This window comes from Homo sapiens, chromosome 5 (genome assembly GCF_000001405.40).
Source record: "Homo sapiens chromosome 5, GRCh38.p14 Primary Assembly".
NCBI classification, from domain to species: Eukaryota; Metazoa; Chordata; class Mammalia; order Primates; family Hominidae; genus Homo; species Homo sapiens.
In genome coordinates, this window is record NC_000005.10 from 122,160,148 (window position 1) to 122,184,072 (window position 23,925).

The 23,925-nt window shown below is 38.7% G+C and overlaps 1 protein-coding gene across 1 annotated transcript; it reads left to right on the plus strand.

Moving 5' to 3' along the window:
* Positions 1-28: 28 nt before the first annotated feature.
* ZNF475 (zinc finger protein 475) lies at positions 29-22,511 on the plus strand. The gene is made up of 3 exons (NM_001195535.4): positions 29-115; positions 19,403-19,583; positions 22,344-22,511. The coding sequence occupies exons 2-3, from the start codon at positions 19,409-19,411 to the stop codon at positions 22,493-22,495; spliced, it is 327 nt and encodes a 108-aa protein (NP_001182464.2). The 5' UTR covers positions 29-115; positions 19,403-19,408; the 3' UTR covers positions 22,496-22,511.
* The last annotated feature ends 1,414 nt before the right edge of the window (positions 22,512-23,925 follow it).

Sequence of the window (23,925 nt, forward strand, 5' to 3'; positions counted from 1 at the left end):
AATATCCAACTGCCTGTGTCATTTCTTCATCTTTCCTTGGTGCCAACCATGCCTGCATATCAGGGCAGCATTCTATGATCCCATGGCTCTCACATCGACAGACCACAACACTAAGGTAACAGGACCAGTTCTCTTCTACATTGTTGGCTCCAGAAGGCAACCCAAGGGAATTTGTGTATATGTATTACATGTGTGGAATATGTGTGTGTCGAAGGTGGGGAAAGTTACACATTTTAGAGCAACAGCCTCATGAGTGAAATTGACATGTAGCTTTCTAATCTAAAAATTTAAAGGATAATACTCACCTGTACAAATCACAGTCTAATATAATTATTTAAAAACTTATCCTTGACTTATAATTATATATCACATATTGCTGGGTAGAGACACTGTGATAGATACAACTACATCTCCCAGAGCCCAAAGCCCAAAGCAAAAATAGGTGCTCTTTCTTTGCATTGGCGCTTCTGTATGTGGCTTTCTGCTTCTCTAGAAAGAAAAATACTGACTGTAACTTCTGTGAGAGGAGAGAATCACATATTATAAATTCAAATATTATTTAGGCGTAAAATGAACAAAAACCATAACATAGTTATACTCTCGAAAAGTTAATCTAACTTAATTTCATATGTCTTCAAAGCCTTTTTCCCCCATCACTTGCTTCCAGTCCAAACACACGTACATCCACATTTCCTAGTGATCATGCATACTGAATCTTTATATAATGAGCGAATGGATATAGCTTCAGTACTTAAAAATCCAAATTCCAAGGTCAACAACTACAATCTCTCCCAAAATTCTTAAAGCTCCAACAAAGGCAGTGCAACGCAATCTGTAAGGAGTCCTTATTGAAACAGAGGTGACTGTCCCATGAACAGAATCTCACTGCTCAATGTGAGGCATAAGTTCAGCCTTATGGATAGGTGGGGAATTGAGAGAACTTTACTTGGGACTCCATCTTCTTCTCTCCCTTTATGTTGTGTAGTGCTCCTCTCCCTTACATCTCTTGTCTCTTTCTAATATTTACTTTATAAGGTTGTCTTATACATAGAAAGAAATGACCTACAAATTGAAGAAAGGGCTAGTAAATCCAGGAACTCAATAAGTTTCCAGTATTCTCAGCCCAAGCACCTGCTCTGATGCCATGGTCCCATCTTTAAAGTCTCCCATGCTGCTCTCATATCCCAGGTTACCCTTAATCAGAGAAAGTGGGAACATAAAGGTATCACTGGTCCCATGTTAAAGCTTCAAGTAATTGGAGGCAGAGAGTAGAAAGGAAGGATAAGGAGAGAGCGGGGTCAACTCTGATAGGAAAATTTTTAAAAAATATCTTAAAGTTAGAATTCTTTCTGGCCTATCCAAGGTGGTGGTCTTCTTTTTATAGGAAAATTCCTTTTTTTGGCCTCTGCTCCTGAGCAATGTGCTCTCTAACACATAAGCTGTAGACAAATCAGGCACTAGAGAAAACCCAATGTCCAAGTTCAGGTCAGAGAGCATTTTTTTTCATCTCTTTAATTATATGCACTGGACAAATTGAGTGTCTGCCGTAGCCCATGGATTTTTCTTGTCTTTCTTCCATTTTCCCTTGTTTCTCCATTTTACTCTGTGACCTAGAAGCCAACTGGCATAAAAGTCAGGCCTGTATCCAAACTGATGAGCACAAGAACCAAACACCAAGAACATTCTCCAACCATTTTCTTCAAGGAAAGTCATTTCAGACAAGAATTTGGCAAGACATTTAATCAATACCTCAAACCCTTCACCTTCCAACTATGTTCTTCTAAGATCAGAAAAACAAAAGCAGAAACGGCTCTTATCTCAAATGTGAAAATTAAAAAAAAAAAAACCTTCAGCTAGGAAATTATTCCTTTCAGAAACCTAGACCAAATTAGAGTCTATTTTGGAATTCATTCTTTGACCTATGATTTTCAGCTTTGTAGCTCAAGATTAACAATTAAATAACTAAAATGTCAGGCATGCATTGGAAATATCAATAGTTCTTTTTAAAAAATTAAATACATAAAGATAGTTTAATAAAAACAACATTTCCAAATGAATGTCAAATCTTTCTTAGGTTAAAAGGAACAAAAGAAAACTCCAAATCACAAGTAACAGACTCTTTTATGGTTGGCCAATAGACAGACCGGATTGGGAAATTCTTTTACACGGCATCCAGTGATTTCCAAAAACAATTTAATTTCAAACAACGATCCTTCCAGATATGACATTTGGGAAGAATTGTTTAAAAACACCAGAAGTAAATGTGAAATACCAGTGGTTTCTAGACAATCAAACTCTGCAATTGTTAAGGTTTGGGAATGAACTATGCATTTACTCCCATACATTAAAATGCTATTTATACTTTGCATGTAGGAGGACATGACTAAGAGAGTAGAAACTTAATTGTATATATTCAGTCTCAGTCAAGTTGGTTGAAATTATGTTTTAAATGGCTGAAGGCAAAATTCTGATTTGGAGAAATGAGTCTCTGGTGGCCTCGCCTCATATTCTAATCTCCTTTGCCTTTTAGCACCTTCTGCAACCTCCCTACCTCTGCACCCCCACCCCTTGGTATTGTTGGAAGGGGTCAAGATAATTTTATAAACTTAACAGAAAACCATCCTTCATAGGACTGTTTGCATTCTGAAAACCTATCTGGGAGAAGTTAATGTTTGACCCAAAGGAATAAACTTTTGAGGTAGTTGGGAGAGCAAAGGCAGGAGTTTTGCTAGTTTTTCCCCAGTCCCATCCAATGGCTGACTCTGGACTTGTAAGGCAGGGCATGATACCCCACTGACCACTGATGACTGTATCTCCCATGTTTCTAGAAGCAACTGGAATCAGACAGACCTGGATTCAGATCATAGATGCACAGTTAAATCAAATACCTTTGAACAAGTTACTTAACCTCCCCAAGCCTCAGTTTCTACCATAAGAGGTTGGAATGAGAGGATGACTGCAAAGGACCTGGGATGGTGCCTAACAAAACTTTATCTGTCAGCTTCTCCCTGCCACTTCACAGGAGACCCAACTCTCTGCAACAGAAACCAGCTTTTCCACTTAGTAATCACTGTGTGCTTTAGTTTCCTGGTTTATAAAATAGGGGCATTGAGCTCTGCCCAGAGGGTTATTATGAGAACAAATGAAATAAAGCATGTAAAGTGTTTAGTACAGGGCCTGTTAGTCAGTAAATGCTGATAATTAGTTGCCATTATGCCACTTGGTCAGACATGTTTAATATTGCAACATACACAAGGATTTATAAAAGAGGTTTTAGCCTTTTTCACCAAGCATGGAGGGAGGGGAACGCTCACTCTTACTTCCTCCATCCAAACTTCCTGCATTCTATGATATGCCCTGTGCACTTACCACAGAAATCTCAATTATTTGGCTTAATGGAAGGAATCAGGAGTGTGGAAAATCTAAAACAGAAGCTAAGGCCCAAATTTTTAGTTTAATTTTATCATGGAGAAAGAGAAACACTCATTGATGGAATGACACACATTCAAATAGCTACACAATCACATAATTCCCTCAGACCTTGGCAAGATGTGCCCTGTTTTTGACAGCCTGGGATCCAGCTGGGAGCAGGGAAAGCAAAAATCCCCCAGAGAGTAAATGACTCAAGGATTACCCATGCTTACTGTGTGCACAGCGTCTTGGAAATCGGTCTCATGCCTTAAAGTACAGCTTCTTTTGCCTAAGGATAGGCTTCAAGCCTCTTGTCAAGTTCTGTTGTAATTGTTATCATGTTTAAATTCAAAAAGAGCAAGGAATCTTCAATGTGACAATCTCTGTGTCACCTTTTTTTTTTTCTCTCTAAAATACCTCTCCTACTACCTGGCAAGTTTTGTTTTAATTCCTCAGTCAATGACTCAGTCTTTCGAGTGAAAACACTGACTCTGCAGGAGATCTCAGCTAAAATGCAAAGATTCCCTTTTAGTCACTGGCACATTAATGTGAATTAACAATAAGGTTAGTTCATTTCTTAGAAATGAGATATAAGGAAAATACCTTTTATTGGGGATATGAGTGAGGAGAGGGATTAGAAAAATAGGCAGCTCAGAGTCACAAGCTCAAATGCTTTCAGGGGCAGAACAGGCTGCATAGAGGGCAACAGGGAGTGGTAGAGCTTGTGGTATACTAGAGAGTAAGCCTCACCTAAAGATATTCACATTTAAAACTTTTAAGAACATTGTGCTGACCAAGTAAAACATGCCTGTTGGTTGAAATGGCTGTTGGTCCATCAGCTTGCCACCTGAAATCCAGAGTATAAAGCCAAGAGGAGGCAGTAGCATTGGGTAGACCAGGTGAGATGCTGTAAAGACCTATGCCTGGGCCAGGAGAAGACAGCTGCGGATGCTTAAGGAGCCACATGTTTGTGTGATAGCTGTGTGCAGGGACCAGGGGCATGCACACTTCATACCTGAGCATAGGGTAACTCACCCCAGCAGCCAACTACCATTTGGATCACCTGTGGGAGTCTCTGGAACGATGAAGCTATTCTTCTGGATCAGACACCTTGGAGCCAAACCTTCTGATAATTTTTAAGGACCAAAAGTCCAGGATCCTAGGGAGGCTGCACATCTGGAGAGTAGTTTTCAAAACTAATCAGTCTGAGTTCAAACATGTTAGAGGGCAGAGAAGTCAGAATGCTTCCTCCACTCAGCAGGTCCCCTTCTCACCCTGCCTCTGTATCTTGAGTAATTTAAAGTGAATGGGCTCAGCACAAGCCAAATAGGGATCTGTCAACCTGATACTGTCTCAGAGATAGAGCTTTGGACAAAGCTAAAAAATGTTTTCTAAATAAAGGGGTTGGACTGAGATGAAAGGGGCAAAAAGAAAAGAAAGTAAATAAAGTGAGTTCAATATGGTCATTCCCACTGTTAGGGCAAGTTCTCAGTTCTGTACCCAGCACAGTCCCTGGCACATTGTCAGTAATCAGAAAATACTTCTGAGCAACAACATCTGGGCTTCAATTAAATCACCTATTGAGGGACAGCCCTTTCCTCCAGATGCATCTGCATTTAGTGTGGGCCTCACGTGAATCAGTCTCAGCTGTGTTTCCAGCAGAGGTCTCTGGTTTATCTCTGCTCACAATGGAAATGCAGTATCAAAATCTAGAATCCTATTGTTTTATTGGCTTTTGAAATTGAAAAGCATCTGATTCATCCCAGATATTTATGGACTAGCAAACTATACTGGTTACCATTCACACTCCATCTGAGAGACAAAGTACACATTGACATATATGGTCAGTTCTAGGCCCAGTTGTGAGACAGGGTAAGGATTGTCATGTCTATCTCCCCCGTGGTCACCATTTTTTAATTCTACATGTTGTGACTTGTGTTATTACAGATTAATGATTACAACCGTATGGTTGGAAAGTGTCTGAAGGTAGGAGTGCCTTTTTCTGATTTGCTCCAAGTCACGGTTCAGGCTTACAGGGGCTATTTCCCTTGCAGGATGTTCTATTACCTCTGGGTGCCCTGAGTTCTCTTTGACTCTTAGGTTAATGAATAACCTCAAATGAACACAGGGAATATGGCTATTTTGATGTAGGGATGATGCAACCTACAAAATGTAGGTTTGATGTACGGATGATGCAACCTACAAAAAAAAAAAAAAGACCATTAAACTTTCTGCATTTAAAAAAATATTTCCAAGGAATGTACAAAGCATGTTACTTGGGAGAAGGACACAGGCGTTTCATTTGCATACATATTTAGTAATAACATAGTTTACATTTTGATGTGGCTCTTTGGCAAAGGCCCACTAAAATGACCTCATCAAAAAGAACAGGCTTACTGCTTTTGTAATGGTTACAGATAAATCCAGCAAATTACTGCCTTCCAATGTGTGAATGCAGGAGGCTTCCTTTATTCCCTGGTAGCAGATGGGTAATTGTTCTTGTGCCCTTCTAGAGCCAAAGTTCTCAGCTCTCTCTTTTTGAGCTGAATGACCCTAAAGAAAATAATTGTAGGCTGGAGGGTAGACAAGGGCAAGCACAAGGAAAATATAAAGGAATAAATGGTGTGACACAAGGGGAGCCTTTCAGTATCCCTAAAATCAACTGTAGATGAGGACTAACTGAATTTATATGTGTTTTGTGCATATATACACACATACACATTTACATACTAATGAACTTTGAAGTGCCTCATATGTTGGAAGATAAGAAACTGGTCAGTTATGTTTCTTTTTTTTTTTAGTTATACTTTAAGTTCTAGGGTACATTTGCACAACGTGCAGGTTTGTTACATATGTATATATGTGCCATGTTGGTGTGCTGCACCCATTAACTCGTCATTTATATTAGGTATATCTCCTAATGCTATCTCCCCCTCCCCCAATCCCACGACAGGCCCCAGTGTATGATGTTCCCCACCCTGTGTCCAAATGTTCTCATTGTTCAATTCCCACCTATGAGTGAGAACATGCGGTGTTTGGTTTTCTGTCCTTGTGATTGCTGAAAATGACGGTTTCCAGCTTCATCCATGTCCCTACAAAGGATATGAACTCATACTTTTTTATGGCTGCACAGTATTCCATGGTGTACATGTGCCACATTTACTTAATCCAGTCTATCGTTGACGGACATTTGGGTTGGTTCCAAGTCTTTGCTATTGTGAATAGTGCTGCAATAAACATACGTGTGCATGTGTCTTTATAGCAGCATGATTTATAATCCTTTGGGTATATAACCAGTAATGGGATGGCTGGGTCAAATGGCATTTCTAGTTCTAGATCCTTGAGGAATCGCCACACTGTCAGTTTAATTAGATCCCATTTGTCAATTTTGGCTTTTGTTGCCATTGCTTTTGGTGTTTTAGACATGAAGTCCTTGCCCATGCCTATGTCCTAAATGGTATTGCGTAGGTTTTCTTCCAGAGTTTTTATGGTTTTAGGTCTGACATTTAAGTCTTTAATCCATCTTGAATTAATTTTTGTATAAGGTGTAAGGAAGGGATGCAGTTTCAGCTTTCTACATATGGCTAGCCAAGAAACTGGTCGGTTATGTTTCAAACAGACAAGATGCCATGCACGTGGGTGCAGAGGAAGAGTCCTGCTTTTATGTTATTCATCTCTGGCTGCAGGGCTCAGGTCCTGAAACTCTAGGGTTGAGTTTTCTTGATGAAATCTTATGTAAATGGGGTTGCTTCCTAATGGACTTTCTCCTACAAAAAATTTAATGTCCTGAAAAAAAAGTCTTGATAAAATATTTTCTAATTTTCTCTAGGTCTTTTTATTTGTTTTCTTTTATGGTTATATGCTTTGTTTTTTGAACTAGGAAAACTTCTTGGGAGATAAATTAAAGAGTTTAGAATAGAGATCATTTGAAATATTCCCTAGCTCCTGGCAAAAATAACTAAAATACATTACTTGATTCTGGAATTTCTTTTACAACGTGTACTGCTGACTTTTAACTGACTGCATTGCATGAGCATGGCAATGCAAAAATACTCCACTAAACTGTATCTGCACTAGTGTTTTTAAATCAGCCTTATGGAGAAATAATTTACAAACAATAACCTGCATCCTTTAAACATGTGCAATTCAATGAATTTTGATGGTTTTAGAAACCTGTTATGCCACCACCATAACCAAGACATAGAACATTTTCATTACCTTCCAAAATTTCTTATATTCCTTTATCACCTTCCACTTCTAGCCTCCAGGCAACCACTAATCTACAGATTAGTTTGGATTTTATATAAATACAATCATGCTGTGTGTACTCTTGTGTTTGGTTTCTTTCAGCATAATGATTCTGAGTTTCATCCACTGGTGCAAGTAGCAGTAGTTCTTTTTTATTGCTCAGTAATAGACCATTGAATGACTGTATTCAACTTTCTTGCTCTATTTATGGATGTTTCCAGTTGCATTCGTGTTTTGTTTTGTTCTTTGTTTTTTTGAGACGGAGTCTCAGTCTGTTTCCCAGGCTGGAGTGCAATGGTGCCATCTCGGCTCACTACAACCTCTGCCTCCCAGGTTCAAGCGATTCTCCCGCCTCAGCCTCCCTAATAGCTGGGGTTACAGGCACCTGCCATCATGCCCAGCTAATTTTTGTATTTTTGTAGAGATGAGGTTTCATCATGTTGGCCAGACTGGTCTTGAACTCCTGACCTCAGGTGATCCGCCCGCCTCGGCCTCCCCTGGGATGACAGGCGTGAGCCACTACACCTGGCCACATTCATGGTTTTTTTACTGTGACTTCAGAGCTTTAGTGTAGGCAGAACCAATTTGCATTTCTCCAATATGGGATAACCAAGATGGTTTAGTGTATAAAAATTGTATCAAGCCTGTAATCCCAGCACTTTGTGAGGCCAAGGTGGATGGATCACGAGGTCAGGAGATTGAGACCATCCCCTGGCTAACACGGTGAAACCCCGTCTCTACTAAAAATACAAAAAAATTAGCCAGGCATGGCGGCCGGCGCCTGTAGTCCCAGCTGCTCCAGAGGCTGAGGCAGGAGAATGGCGTGAACCCAGGAGGCAGAACTTGCAGTGAGCCGAGATCGTGCCACTGCACTGCAGGCTGGGCACAGAGCAAGACTCCGTCTAAAAAAATAAAAAATTATAAATTGTCCCATCTGGCCCATTTCTTAATCTGATTGTGTCTCAAAGATATGAAGTCCTCATCCTTGCATTCAGGACTCAACACAATCCCCAAAATTGCCCTCTCTCTATCCAAAACAGCATAACACCTTAACTTGACTGATGCAGCTCTCTTATAGAAAGCCCTTCCTTTTAGTATTATTTGTCAAATCTCCACCCCACTGTTCTGACAGGAGGATGAAGTCTGGGATCTGGACCAAGGTGGAAAGGCAGAGGGCCAGGGGAGACACTTAGAACATGTTGCGACCTTCAACTGTTTTCTCAAGGTCTAACCACTCGTGTTTCCATCCTATGTGGAACAGATTGATCCTCACTTGTACACTTCCTCTAAGCAGCCTTCTTGTTTCCATTATGGGCATTATAGCTTTCATGTTCACATACTACAGTACTATTAAACAGTTGTTGAAAGGGTCGTGTTGTTTAGCAGCTTGGCTGAGGGAGTTCTCCTCTCTCCTGTACAGTTCTGCCATTCAATAAACCCACTTCAGATATTATCCACTTCATTGGCTTCTGATCAAAACACTTCCCTTTCTTTCTGCTTCAGACTCTTGTGGCACTATGTCCCCATATCATGACACTTACACATTTTGGCTTGTAAATTAATAGTTTATATGTTTGCCTCCATAACTAAGGAGAGTTAAGGATTGGGATTCCCCACAACCTCCAGCTTGGTGCTGGAGGAAGTAGATGAATGAAGGCATGGAGACAGCAAAATTGAGGACTGTGGCCTCTAGCATGGGGAATAGTGTCCAGTTTGGCGTGGCTCAAAGATGTGATTCATGGGGCTAAGACTGGCCATGGCTGAAGTCTATATGAAGTGTTGGACTTTAGTCTGTAGCCACAGAGAACCATAAAATTACTGACATCATATTAGATAGGCCAAGTTTGCACAAAACAGTCAAGAGGCGGGGGGTGGAGATAGTTGAGAAGATGAAAATTATATGGCAATATGTCAAGCCAGCTAGAATGGGCAATACAGGATCCAAAGGATGGCCTGCTTCATCCACCCACCAAATTATCCTTTTGACCACCACTTTTCAAAATAAGATGACTAGTACCATACAGCCGCACTTGGTTACTTGTGAGTTCATTTTTTGACTAATGCGTTCAGGTGTGGGAAACAGCCTAGACTAAAATATCTGTAAAAGCTGGATTTAGGATTATCTTATGGTGGAAATGAACTCATGCTAAATCTTGTTCTCAGACTATTTTTCCAGACATTTGTTACTGCTTTTTAAAGTAATGGAGCAGAATTCTAGGATTTCAATTATGTTTCATCATACAAGTATTTAACTGATATGTATTCAACCATAAACAATTAGCAAAATAAAATAGTATTGGAATAACGTAACTTAAAGTACCGTATTTTTATTTTGTATTTAAAAGGAAAACCTTTTCTATTGACAACACTTCTGACACCAAATGTGTGGATTTTTTCCCCCACAGCAACAACCAGTTCTCTAGTTCTCCAGACAACTGCGTGTTGTCCCAGAGTTAGTGCAGACCTCAAAAGTTGAGGGCTCAGTCTCACAAGACTGCCCCCCAGCTTCAGAAGCCAATCTCCACTACTGGGACGCCAGGTTACTCACACTTCTGTCAACTTGGCTAAAAACTGGATTTCCCATGATCCTCCCTTCACGCTTAATAATTTGCTATAACAGCTCACAAAACTCAGGGAAACACTTCATCGTGTTATTTATGTTACCAGTTTACTACAAATGATACAGATGAACAGCCAGATGAATAGGTACACAGGGCAAAGTACGGGGTTAGGGGTGGTGTGGAGCTTCTGTGACCTCTCTGGGGTCACCACACTCCCAGCACCTCAATGGATTTGCCAACATGGAAGCTCTTTGAAACCCTTCATTTGGAGTTTCTATGGAGGTTCCATTTCACAGAGATAATTGATTAAATCATTGAACATTAGTGATTATCTCAATCCCCAGCCCCTCTTCCCTCCTCAGAGGTCAGCGAGTAGAGCTGAAATTTCCAGCCCTCTGATCAGGCCTTGGTCATTCTGGCAACCAGCCCGAATCTTAAAGCTGTCTGGGCGGTCCTAGCCACCAGTCATTCATTAGCATACAAAAAGACATTCATCACTCCCGGGGATTCCAAAAGTCTTAGAAGCTCTTGTTTCAGAAACAGGGAAAAGGACCAAATATAATTTTAAAAGCTCCTATCACCCCTGTCACTCAAGAAATTACAAGGGTTTTGAGAACTCTGTGTCAGGAAGTAGGTGCAGAGACCAAATATGCATTTCTTATTATGCCACAGCATTGTAATTTTATGCTATGCAAAGCTGTATTCATTCCTAATATTAATTCTAATTCCAACTACTAGTTTGTTATAATATTAAACTATATTATATATATAATCTTTGAATATCTTTTATGAGTTATTTAAGGAATTTGCAGAAAATAATTTAGTCTGCATTATTTTACCTTTAAGGCTGATTTTATTACCCAATCCAGATTAGCTTTTGACTCCAGAGCTGATTTTTTTATTACTTTTTATTATAAAAATGATACAAATTCATTATAAAAATCCAAGCCATTAGGAAAGTATAAAAGTTACCCCACACTCCCCTAATTTGACCTTAGTGAGTATCATTCCAGGCATCTGTGTACACAGACATATGTAAGTAGACACGTATATGTTTTCATAGAAGTGAGGTTATCAGTAGAGATAAATTTAAATTACTTGCATTTGACAAAAAGGCACCAAAGTGAAACTAATAATTTTGCTGAACTGTAGGATAATATTTCTTCACTAAAAGTTTAGTTTTTAAAAGGACCCACTAAAGTTAAAAACAGTAATTATTAAAGTATTTGCAAAACATTAACTTCAAACTTTAATTTTACACTGCTTCAATTGACTGTTTCACATGAAAAGTGAGGAATTTAATGTCATTAACTTATTTGTACTGCTCCTTCCCCTGCCAATTTTGATAATTAATTTTATATTCTCTTCTCTATACTTTTTTTTTTTTTTGAGACAGGGTCTCACACTGGTGCTCACAGTGGAGTGCAGTGGCACGATCACAGCTCGCTGCAGCCTCAACCTCCTGGGCTCAGGTGGTCCTCCCACTTCAGGCTCCTAATAGTTGAGAACTATAGGCACGTGCTACCATGCCCAGCTAATTTTTATATTTTTTGTAGAGATGGGGTCTCACTAGATTGCTCAGGCTCAGGCTGGTCTCAAACCCTTCGGCTCAAGCAATCTACCTGCCTTGGTCTCCCAAAGTGCTGGGATTACAGATAAGAGCCACTGGGCACAGCCTCTACAATTTCTATAGTTATATTGCCTTCTATGATTTAAGTGGATTAATTGCCACTCTTTGAGTCACAATCTCTATATTTTTTAGCTTTTTTGTTGTTTCATCCCTTGATTTCTTATATTAACTAATGTTTTTCAAAGAGGATCAGGGGTAGAGTGGCTATATCATGTATTTATTATACAAGGACTTTTCAGGGAGTAAAAGAGCAGCTATTAATATTAGCCAAGACAACAGGTATATAATAAGACTATTCTAGGCAAAACAGTGCTTAGAATCACCCTAAAGCCAGATATGGTGCCAAGTTCTTGAATGCTTCAACTCAGAACTTTCTGAGCCATTTAAACAGTGCCAAATGGCCCCTTTAACAATGAATCATCTATTGGAAGAGAAAGTTTGGCTCTGTCTAAAGGCCCAATAGCTCACTTCCTGGGGCTAATAGACAGGTTTTAGGGAATCTACCAATCAGTCGATATCATATCCACAGTTCTGTATACATATGCATTTTTCTGGGGAGATCACTGTTACACTAATCAGATTTTCAAAGGCTATTGCTCCATAAACATTTCTTACCAATTTCTATTTCATGAGGTGATGCTTGGATCACATTCTCTGAACTCCCTTGTAAATAACATCACAGAACTATACTTTCACACTATAAGTTATCACTTCGTATCTTCTGTATAATTAGTATAAGAAGTGAACAAATGTGGGCCGGGCGCGGTGGCTCACGCCTGTAATTCAAGCACTTTGGGAGGCCGAGGCGGATGGATCACGAGGTCAGGAGATCGAGACCACCCTGGCTATCACGGTGAAACCCCGTGTCTACTAAAAATACAAAAAATTAGCTGGGCATGGTGGCAGGCACCTGTTGACCCAGGTACTCGGGAGGCTGAGGCAGGAGAATGGCGTGAACCCGGGAGGCAGAGCTTGCAGTGAGCCAAGATCGCGCCACTGCACTCCAGCCTCGGCAACAGAGCGAGACTCCGTCTCAGAAAAAAAAAAAGAAATGAACAAATGTGGAGTGTTTCTGATATTTTGTAAAACTGCTAGTAATGACTTCCATTTTAGTTTTCATCATGTCTTTTATTAAAATTCATAAATTCATGCAATAAATTTAGTGCTAGGAATATTTTTTTCCTTCTGACCAATTGTCATACTTCTTTCTATAAACAATATTAGTTATTGAGTTGTGTATTTCACAGTGGTTTCCTTTTAGCCTGTGCTATCAGAGAGGTCATCTAGAGAAATCTGAATCTATCTGAAATGTAGGTATTCTAGTCTCGGTTTTCTGAAACAGCTATGTCCATTCCTCTTTTATCCAAACCTCTCTTAAGGTTCTCCAACAAATCAGCCTCTTTTCTTGGTCCTTAATCTTTCTCCCCTGCTTCAATAGTGATATTATGACTATTTATTTCAATCAGTAACAATGAAGGGATGGATGCCAGGTTATATACAATAATTAGGATAAAAGTTGTTAAATATCCACTTCCCTGTGTGTTACACAAACCTGGCCTAAAGCATTGAACATGAAGTGTTCCTGACAGAGAAAAGAGATTAACAGAAAGAAAAAGATGCTGTGTGGAAAATAATATGATAATTCCAAATAGTGGCCAGCAAAATAATTGAAAACATATGAAAAGTTAGTGGATTCAAGTTAAAAGTTTTCCCTAAAATGTTCAAGTGCCTGTCTGTATCTAGCCTAAATCAACTTTCCCAGGAAACTGAGAGCACAGAAACAAAATTGTGATGAGCCCTGATAGATTTTTATGCACACTTACATAGATTTAGTGACTAACTTTTTGTAAAAAAAGTCTTTTACCTTGATGTTAGAAAAGTAATGCCACATCAGCAAAATACTATCTATCTGAAATGTTACAGGGAAAACTGTTGATCTAATTCTTTGCTCTTCAGCAACCTCAGACTTACCGACTTCCTCTTTGCCTTTCTTGGATAACGCTTTCCTGGAGTTGGCTGGTCCCGGCAAGGGCCTCCATAGACAGGGCCCCCTGCCCTCACATAACCTCCTCAGCCACCCTTCCACTGCCCTCCTTACTCTGTTATGCCATGCCACTGAAAGCTACAGACTGCACATTTGCTAAGAGGGGGCCTTCTGCTGGTTCTGCCAGAGCTACAGTCTCTTCTTTCCGTTCCTTCTCTCCATCCCCCACATATCCACTTCTATCTGAAAAAGGCCCAATAGGAAAACCTTGGACTGGAGATAGAGGCCAAATAGGAAAACCTTGGCAGCTGGGGCAGTGGCAATAACCACAAGTTGGAGATTGCTCAGCTTTCCCTGGAAGTTTCAGACTGACAATTGTAAAATCAATGAAAAATAAAATAGGTCTTCTTATCTCTGTTCAGACCCACGTGGATGTATTTTTCTCTTCTGCTGTGGCTGGGTTGTTTGCGCTTCACTAGAGCATGGCTTAGGAGTAAGATGCTCAAAACCTAAGAATATGGAGTATATTGCAGGTTCAACTGAAGTTCAACCACAAATATAGAGCATGGGAGAAGCTTTAGAAAATGTAATATAGAACATCTTCACCTTTTTATGGTATTAATTTTCTCCCACATCCATTTCAGTTGTTCAGTATGTGTCTTCTGACCTCTGTGTCTGCCTGTTTTCTTCTAACTTTCCTTCCAAAGGAAATCTGACGGTGACACGAATGTCTTCATTTATGACCCATGCTATTTATTGTGCTTATATGTGTGGTTAAATACTGGATTTGGCTCATACTTTCCATGTGGAATTTTATTAAATTCACTATTTTCAAAATGAAAAGAATAACTTCTCATTTTAAACTAAAAATCTGCATTTAATTAACCTTTCCAGTAAATAAACATGTTAAAAAAATAGTAAGAAACATTTAAACATCTTGAAAATTTTTCCTTATGCTTTGTACTTTCTCTTAGGTCTTTCTTGAATTTCTCAAATATTTTTCATGCCACTTTTGAATTGTTAGAACCTACCATATGGCTAAGAAAAAGAAGGATAAATAACTATTTAGTTATTTTGATAAATGTAGACAGTTTATTGGCATAAGTTAATATAAAATAATAGAAAAAAATTCCACTTCAAATAATACCCTTTTTATAAAAACTTCAATCATCCAGGGAGTCACTTTATTTTCCCTTTTTGCTTCGTCTATGTTAACTGTGGATTTATTCATCTAAAATCTCTTTTTATGCCTGGTAATCAGAAATCATAAATGTGTTTCCTTCTGGTTTTGATATTGGTCTGTGAAAAGTGAAAGTCCCAATAGTTATAGTTAGAAGTAGGCTGATTCTAAGACATACACATTAACCAAGTTTTATTTCCCCAATGGAGACCACACAATCAGCTTAATTTATTTCTGTTTTCATGCCACCTGGTGCTACTAAAGAGCATATTGAAAAAAAGTCATTTAATTCCAACAAAATTTCTTGCAGCTTCAGGTAACTAGGTCTTTTCCATTATTCAGTGAATATTCTTCCCTAATTGAATCATTACTACATTCCCCAGAGTGCATAATCCCAGCATCTTTCACTATTTCCCAGAATTCAAATCTCTTCATTCTCTGAAGATCACTTTATCTCATACTTAGAAGACTAAGTCCATGTATGTGAGCACCACCAATTCCTCACTTCTCTACAAACACCTTTTCCCTTTCTCTAACTTTTCCTTTTTCCCTTTTCTCAGAAGCTGACACCTCCAATTGTGCCCTTAATCTCATCTTCTACTGCCTCCTCTGTAATTTTTAATTATCCTATTTTATTGTGGGCCTATACTCTTTTCCTCTCTGCCTAAGGCATCCCTATCCTATAAACAACAACAAAACAAAGCTTTCTTTTACTTTGCTTGTCTCTCAAGTTTCTTTTCTGCAAGTTTTTTGAAAGTGTATTGTTCTCTTCCTTGACATAATTTTTAACTCCTAACAATTTAGCTTTTACCCTTACCACTCCTTTGGAACTAACCTCTCAAAAGTCACTGGTATGGAATCCACTGATAACTCCATCTAATAGCCTTTACTCAGCCCCTCATCACTCTTTGCAGCATCTGACAAGGCTGATGACACCATATTTCTGGAAACCAGAAATGTTTCCAGAATCTTTTGTCTGCATGCCCTGTTTCTTTAACTGCAAATTTGAACCTTTCTCTGTGTTTTCTGGCTATAATTTCCCTTGTCCAATATCCCTACTATAAATATTCTCCCAAGAATTTTTCTCCATATATTCTTTACATACTCCTATCTATAGAATTTTCATGGTTTTAAACATTTTTTTTCTGTGTGAATAGCTCTGAAATAAATGAATACTGAATTTGCAGGCCTGTATTTCCTGTTTTGGCTGGACTTATTTATTTAAATTCTACAATTATGTCAAACTCAACAGATCCAGAACAAAATCAATGTTTTTCTCCTTCTCTAAATTGCCTTTCTGTATTTATAAGTTTTATTTGTACTCTGTGCAAGTCTTTTGTACAGCTCTATCCTCAGATTTAGACAGGCCCTGGGTTCCTAAAATGGTAGAGGCTTCTGTCAATGCCCCTTCCTCTCCCCAGTGTCAGATTGTCACCTCCTATAACTGAGTGTAAGACATGGTGGGTAGGAGAGTATACACAGACGGTCCCTGCATGCCTGCACCTTACAGGGGCTTATGCTCAGCTACTCTGCCCTTTTCTTGTGGCAGAAAATTATGTCTCATATAAAGTTTGGAGCTTGGAGGCTTTTTCTTGGTACTATTGATCTATGTTCAAACTTAGGTAGGCCTTTTAGTTCATCTATTTATCTTGCAACTTTGAGTCTCCAATGGGCTCAAAAATTATGATTCTGTAAGCTATTCAATTTGTTCTCATTGTTTAGGTGGAAGCAATGATTCTTGTCCTTTTCTATATCCTAGACAGAAGCTGAATTTCCCTATTGCATCTTATCCTTAACTCTCCCATAGATTTGGTTCTCCTAAGAACAAGAAAACTAAGAATTTGAGTTCAAGTAGTTTATTTGGGAGGTGATCTCAGGATACCCCAGTAAAGGAATAGGAAGAGAGACAGGGAAGAGAACAAAGCCTAGATAGTGTGTTAACAAGCGACTGTGGTACAATCACTCTGGGGACTTCTGGAAGACTATATGGAATCAACCTTGGTGAGGAAACTGGGTATTTATTCGCTAACTCTCATCTGCAATTGATGAGCTGTTCTGCTGTGGGCAGAGCCTACTCCAGATCAAAAAAGGCAAAGAATCACAAGTGCTTGCAGTAGAAAGTTGTTGACATGATCCCAATGTGGGCGGGCATAATAGTGTTAACAATGTCTGTTATAAACTTTCCATTGACATTTATTACTTTTCTTCTCAGATATATGGGTGTACTCAAGCCTGGTGTTATTGAGAAGAGGAATTATGCCTGATTTATCTTTGTATTCTCCCAGCATAGTAACTTGGATAAAATAGTCAGAAGGCAATCAATCAATATTAAATGAGAAAATATAATTTATATAGTACCAATATGAAGAATTCTGGTTAGCTCTTTTTTATTTCCTCTGAAGCCATGTCCTCACCTCAATCCCAGTTACTCAAATAATATAGTTTAATCTTTTAATTGCCAAAAAGATAAAGTCACCAGGCTAGTGGGGATTTTTTTAAATCATGTTGATTTTCCAGCTAACTTAAATGTGGTATAATTTTAAAATATGATTTCCAAATCTAAGCTTTATCTAACAGACATTTTTTCTTTTTTTTTAATTATACTTTAAGTTCTGGGATACGTGTGCAGAATGTGCAGGTTTGTTACATAGGTATACACGTGCTATTGTGGTTTGCTGCACCCATCAACACGTTATCTACATTAGGTATTTCTCGTAATGCTATCCCTCCCCTAGCCCACCGCCCCCAACAGGCCCCAGTGTGTGATGTTCTCCTCCCCATGTCCATGTCTTCTCATTGTTCAGATCCCACTTATGAGTGAGAACATGGGGTGTTTGGTTTTCTGTTCCTGTGTTAGTTTGCTGACAATGGTGGTTTCCAGTTTCATCCATGTCCCTGCAAAGGACATGAACTCATCCTTTTTTAAGGTTGCACAGTATTCCATGGTGTATATGTGCCACATTTTCTTTATCCAGTAAAGCATTGGTGGGCATTTGGGTTGGTTCCAAGTCTTTGCTATTGTGAACTGTGCTGCAGTAAACATACATGTGCCTGTGTCTTTATAGTAGAATGATTTATAATCCTTTGGGTATATACCCAGTAATGGGATTGCTGGGTCAAATGGTATTTCTGGTTCTAGATCCTTGAAGAATCGCCACACTGTCTTCCAGAATGGTTGAACTAATTTATACTTGCACCAACAGTGTAAAAGCTTTCCTATTTCTCCACATCCTCTCCAGCATCTGTTGTTTCCTGACTTTTTAATGATCACCATTCTAACTGGCATGAGCTAGTATCTCATTGTGGTTTTGATTTCTAATGACCAGTGATGATGAGTTTTTTCATATGTTTTTGGGCTGCATAAATGTCTTCTTTTGAGAAATGTCTATTTATATCCTTTGCCCTCTTTTTGATGGGGTTGCTTGTTTTTTTCTTGTGAAGTTGTTTAAGTTCCTTGTAGATTCTGGATATTAGCCCTTTGTCAGATGAGTAGGTTGAGAAAATTTTCTCCCATTTTGTAGGTTGCCTGTTCACTCTGATGGTAGTTTCTTTTGCTGTGCAGAAGCTCTTTAGTTTAATTAGATCCCATTTGTCCATTTTGGCTTTTGTTGCCATTGCTTTTGGTGTTTTAGTCATGAAGTCTTTGCCCATGCCTATGTCCTGAATGGTATTGCCTAGGTTTTCTTCTAGGGTTTTTATGGTTTTAGATCTTACATTTCATTCTTTCATCCATCTTGACTTAATTTTTGTATAAGGTGTAAGGAAGGGGTCCAGCTTCAGTTTTTTGCATATGGCTAGCCAGTTTTCCCAATATCATTTATTGAATAGGGAATCCTTTCCCCATTGCTTATTTTTTCTCAGGTTTGTCAAAGATCAGATGGTTGTAGATGTGTGGCATTATTTCTGAGGCCTCTGTTCTGTTCCATTGGTCTATATAACTGTTTTGGTAGCAGTACCGTGCTGTTTTGGTTACTGTAGTCTTGTAGTATAGTTTGAAGTCAGGTGGTGTGCTGCTTCCAGCTTTGTTCTTCTTTTTGCTTAGGATTGTCTTAGTTATACGAGCTCTTTTTTTGGTTCAGTATAAAATTTAAAGTGGTTTTTTCTAATTCTGTGAAGAAAGTCAATGGTAGCTTGATGGGGATAGCATTGAATCTATAAATTACTTTGTGTAGTATGGCCGTTTTCACGATATTGATTTTTCTTATCCATGAGCATGGAATGTTTTTTCCATTTGTTTGTGTCCTCTCTTATTTCCTTGGGTAGTGGTTTATAGCTCTCCTTGAAGAAGTCCTTCATATCCCTTGTAAGTTGTATTCCTAGGTATTTTATTCTCTTTGTAGCAATTGTGAATGGGAGTTCACTCATGATTTATTTTATGTTACTTGCAGCCAACAATGATACGGCGTCCACCAGCAGTTGTTTGCTACATTTGTGGTCGTGAATATGGAACAAAATCTATTAGCATTCATGAGCCACAATGTCTGAAAAAATGGCATAATGAAAACAACTTGTTGCCTAAAGAGTTAAGGAGACCAGTACCTAAAAAACCAGAAGTCAGGACCATTACTGGTAAGTTCCTAGAAAAAAGATTTGAGTGCATAAGGGGAGACTTTTCTCTCTAAACTAATAAGAGCAGAAGTATTCTTTTTTCACTTGTTCAAACGACCAAAATCAACAACATTTCTTGCCTTGGTTACAGACAAATAAGAAAAACAGTTCTGAAATGCCTGTCCAAAGAATTATCTTCTGATGCTGAGACATAAAGACACTATGTCCTGGCAACACTGTGCATGAGAGGGACCTATGGGAATTTGCTGTATTCTCCAAAAGTTTCTTTCATACATCATCAAACCCTTTGAATGTAAAATAAATAATAAAATACTTAAAAAATAAAAATGAATAAAACTTAAAAAAATATGAAACTTAAAAAAAACCTTTGGGAACATCCAAAGTCATGTTTCCAAATATGAATGTGTCTTGGTGTTCATAGAGCAGGGATACCAAACTCGAATTTTCACCAGGTCCACTAGTCAGGTTATAACATTGAGTAAACTGGTCCATGTGTGCACCAAAGGGGAGGTAAGGACTATGATGCGCTGTGGAGCATCAGCTCGCTCTATAGGAGACAAGCAGCTGCCCAGTTCCAGCTGGCGTTATCATTAAGAAATTTAGTCCAATGTACTCATATCTTTCAATAACACAAAACAAACTAGAAATCTAGACATCTATTTTAAATGTCCAGAATTTTTCACATTTAATCATTTGTAAAGCATGGTGCAAACCAAATGAAACTGAAACTACACTGCCATGTTTCGCCTCATCACAAAGCCTCATGTTTATTCATTTAGGGTATGAGAATAGTTAAGAAAATATTTTTGCCATGCAAGCTCAGACTTGCTTATCATATTTTTACCATTGTCATTTTCTCAGTAGATCCCCTAAACCATCTCACAGGACAATGTTGGTTTTAAGAGGAGTATCTTTCAATTCATCCATTCTCCTATGTAACCGTAGATTTGCAATGCTGAAAAGTACCTTGGGGGTCATTTAATGTCAATTAGTCCAAAGCACTTGTGTCAGAGATGTGACACAAGGAGAGTTTTATAACAACCCACAAAGTAGACCCTAGATTGTATGATAAATTCTAGATCCTGCTAGATCCCAGCTACTCACAGTGCTTGTCAAAAAGAGGACTTTTCATACAGGTGGGAAAACAGCTAAAGATGAAAATGACCAGCTACTGAAATTAGAGCATTTTCCATAAACAGGTTGTTTACCTCATTGAAACTCTCTTTCCAGCATTTCTCATTTGGTGTCAAAATATGTTTCCTTCCCTTCTGATCTTTATCACTTTCTCTGCTTGACCATAACTACCAGCAGGCTAGAAGTAAGAGGAATGATTGGTCTGAAAGCCCTGGTGGTTCACTATTCTGTTACTGCCTACAGATGGAAAAGATGGGTCCTATAACTGCACTTCCCTGCAGTCTTCCTCTCACTTCCATGTTATTTATCTCTGAGGATGCCCTTCCTCTCTAGGTAAAAAGAATTCATATTACCATTTTTATCCCATGAACTCATTGTAGTCACAGGGTTCAAATAACCCCTCTTCCTGATCTGAAGTCAAGGCCCTATGCAAAAACATTTAGAAATGTGGTGAATCACCTTCAAGTGAGAGTCAGTGACTACTCTGGAATTTTTGAGTTCATTTTAAAACTCGCATGAGTAACGAGAAAGTCAGTGTCATTCTTTTCTCATTTTTCAAAGCACTGAAACTACACATTCATATCCCACATAGACAGTGACATTTGCTTTATCCAAAGAAGAAATACTAGATTTTGCTGGGATTTAAATTTCCATGGAGCAAGAAAGTGAGTATTAGGAGCAGACATGTTAAAAAATTTAAGGTTCACTGTGGTTGTGTGAACCATTAGATAGAAATCATATGAGAATTGCCTAAGCTTTAACGAAGTAATCTATGTTGTGCCAAAGATAAAAACTAAGTAATATGTTTTTGAGTGCCTTGTTACATTTTGGGGGCCTATTTTCAGTGGTTCTAAGACATAGTCAATTTAATGTACTGAAATCATTCTATTTTAACTAAGGTTTATTAAAGCTAAATGCCACATTGTTTCTCTAAAATAAAGCCATATGCTTTTTTCTCCCTATGCTCTGCCAATGAAGGTTATACATTTCTCATCTGTCTTTGTTATTTTCTTAAGGACGTATCTTTTTGTCAGATTATTCTGTTTGTATTCTCCACTTTGATTACTTAAAGAATATCTGAGTTTATGACCATGAAGAGATGATAAGTTTTTAGGATATAATTCATCTTAAATTCACTCTCAACTGTCAGTTTTGGCTTCTAAAAACATTCCACTGAAGGATTACAGAAAAGGAAAATACGAATACATGCTCATTCCCCTTTGTAAGCTTATATTTAGAGTCAACTGAAAGAAGGCCAAAAGTTATATTTGCAAAATAATAATGTGTATGCAAAGATGTTAATAATTAGTGAAGAATGCATATCATACCATGTAAAACAATGTCTTTCCCTTTTTAAAATCCAAAGAGTGAAAAGCCTCTGTCTGATTCCCAGCTAATTTTATTCAACACTTGAAAGAGCGAGCAGCCCTTTCTTTTTTGGAGGCAAAAGTAATATGATTTGTTTAAAATACTCAGTCAACAGGTATTTCCTGAAAATATTTTCCATAGAAAGTAGAATATGGTTCTCCCGAATAAAAACTGATCCATTTTACCTTTTTCTTTCCCTTTTGTTTTTGGTATTTTTTTTTCTTTTTTTCTTTTTGCTTTTTTCCTTTAACTTTCCAGCCAAAGGCTTCTATGATCTTGATGCTTTAAATGAAGCTGCTTGGACAAGTGCCCACAGCCAGTTGGTTCCCTGTAATGTTTGTGGGCGTACCTTCCTGCCAGACAGACTGATTGTTCACCAACGATCTTGTAAACCCAAAGCCGCCAAGTAAAGCCCTTTTCTCTCTACTGAAGTGTTACAGAAATTAATCCTTTTGAAAGAGATTGGGATAAAGTGGGAAGGAGAAAAAGGAGCTGACGAGGGGAAACAAGGAAAACTGGAATTGACCAAGGGCTGGTCTAGCCGGGGAGGCCCAGTTCAGCGCTTCGGTGTTGCAAGCATTGCTCACTATTATGCAGTTGGGCAAATGCTCTGGTTTTAACAAGCAGCTGCATGTGCATAGGCATGCTGGGGACCATTTCACACTTTTGTCAGGCAGATTTACAAGCAGGCTGCTTCTCATCAGAGCTGGGATTTTTGTCTAAAAGAAATTTCAGAGCCAATGGTCCCCATTTTTCTTCCATTTTCTTTCCTGAACAAGATTTTGAACTTCACAATTAGGACTCTTATTCAGTGCACAAGGGTTTTGGAGGCAACTTCAGGCAACTCCTTAATCCCAGGAAGAACCTGATTCCTTCCTCTCCCTGAGCTTTCTGAAATAACCTGTCATTCCACATGTCCTTTTATCCAGGGACATTTTTTGAGTTCTTGACTGGGGTGCTTCTTTTCTCTATAAGATTGTTTAACAGCAGAGACATTCAAAACATCGCTGAGAACTCAATGTACTGGAACCATATCTAACTCATTCTCGCTTTCAAATGGCAAGAAATGATACAAGATATTTCAGAGCCACTGCCAGCCTCATGTGTCAGGAGACTGCTGCAATACAATTCATCAAAATAGGTGGAGGCTAACTCCTTCCTTATTTAGGAGAAGTCCAGCATGAATTCTTTATGCCGACATAGGGGTTTATAGGTGTTTTATTGTTGTGGTCTAAATGCCTGCCAGAAAGTTCTGTGCCTCCCCACCCAAGGCTTATGCACAGTAAGTGGGTTGTGAAACTGCTTAGTATTTTAGAGTCCTTGAATGTGTATTCATCGAGGTGGGGCTCTCCTGGGAGGACGCCAGGGTCAGGGAGGGACTCTGCCTAGGAAATTCTGCTCCCCCGGGCTGTGCTGCTTTGCCTGGACTCCCAGCGGTTTTGCTTGAGATCTTTGTTCATTTTATGGCAGAATTCCAGGGCCATTCTGGATCCAGTGGGTTCCTGCAAGCCTCACATTCATGACTTTACACAGCATAGTCAGATCCAAATTACACAGGCAAATTTATTCTACCTAATACTTTGGTCATACTTCTACTTATTACACAGGGTTAAGTTAGGATAATTGTGCAAATATTTCTGTTTTTTCCTGCCTGCTTCAAAGGAAGCAAGAGATGAACATTTTAAAAGTCTTTAGATACCCTCAAATAAAAATCTTGTGAAAAATCATGGCATTTAATGACTCATAGTTGGTGGTTTAGTTGTTTTACCTTATTAACCAAAATGACAAAAACATCAAATAGATGTTGAGTTTACTGTGGGTCAGGCACTGTGCTAAGTGC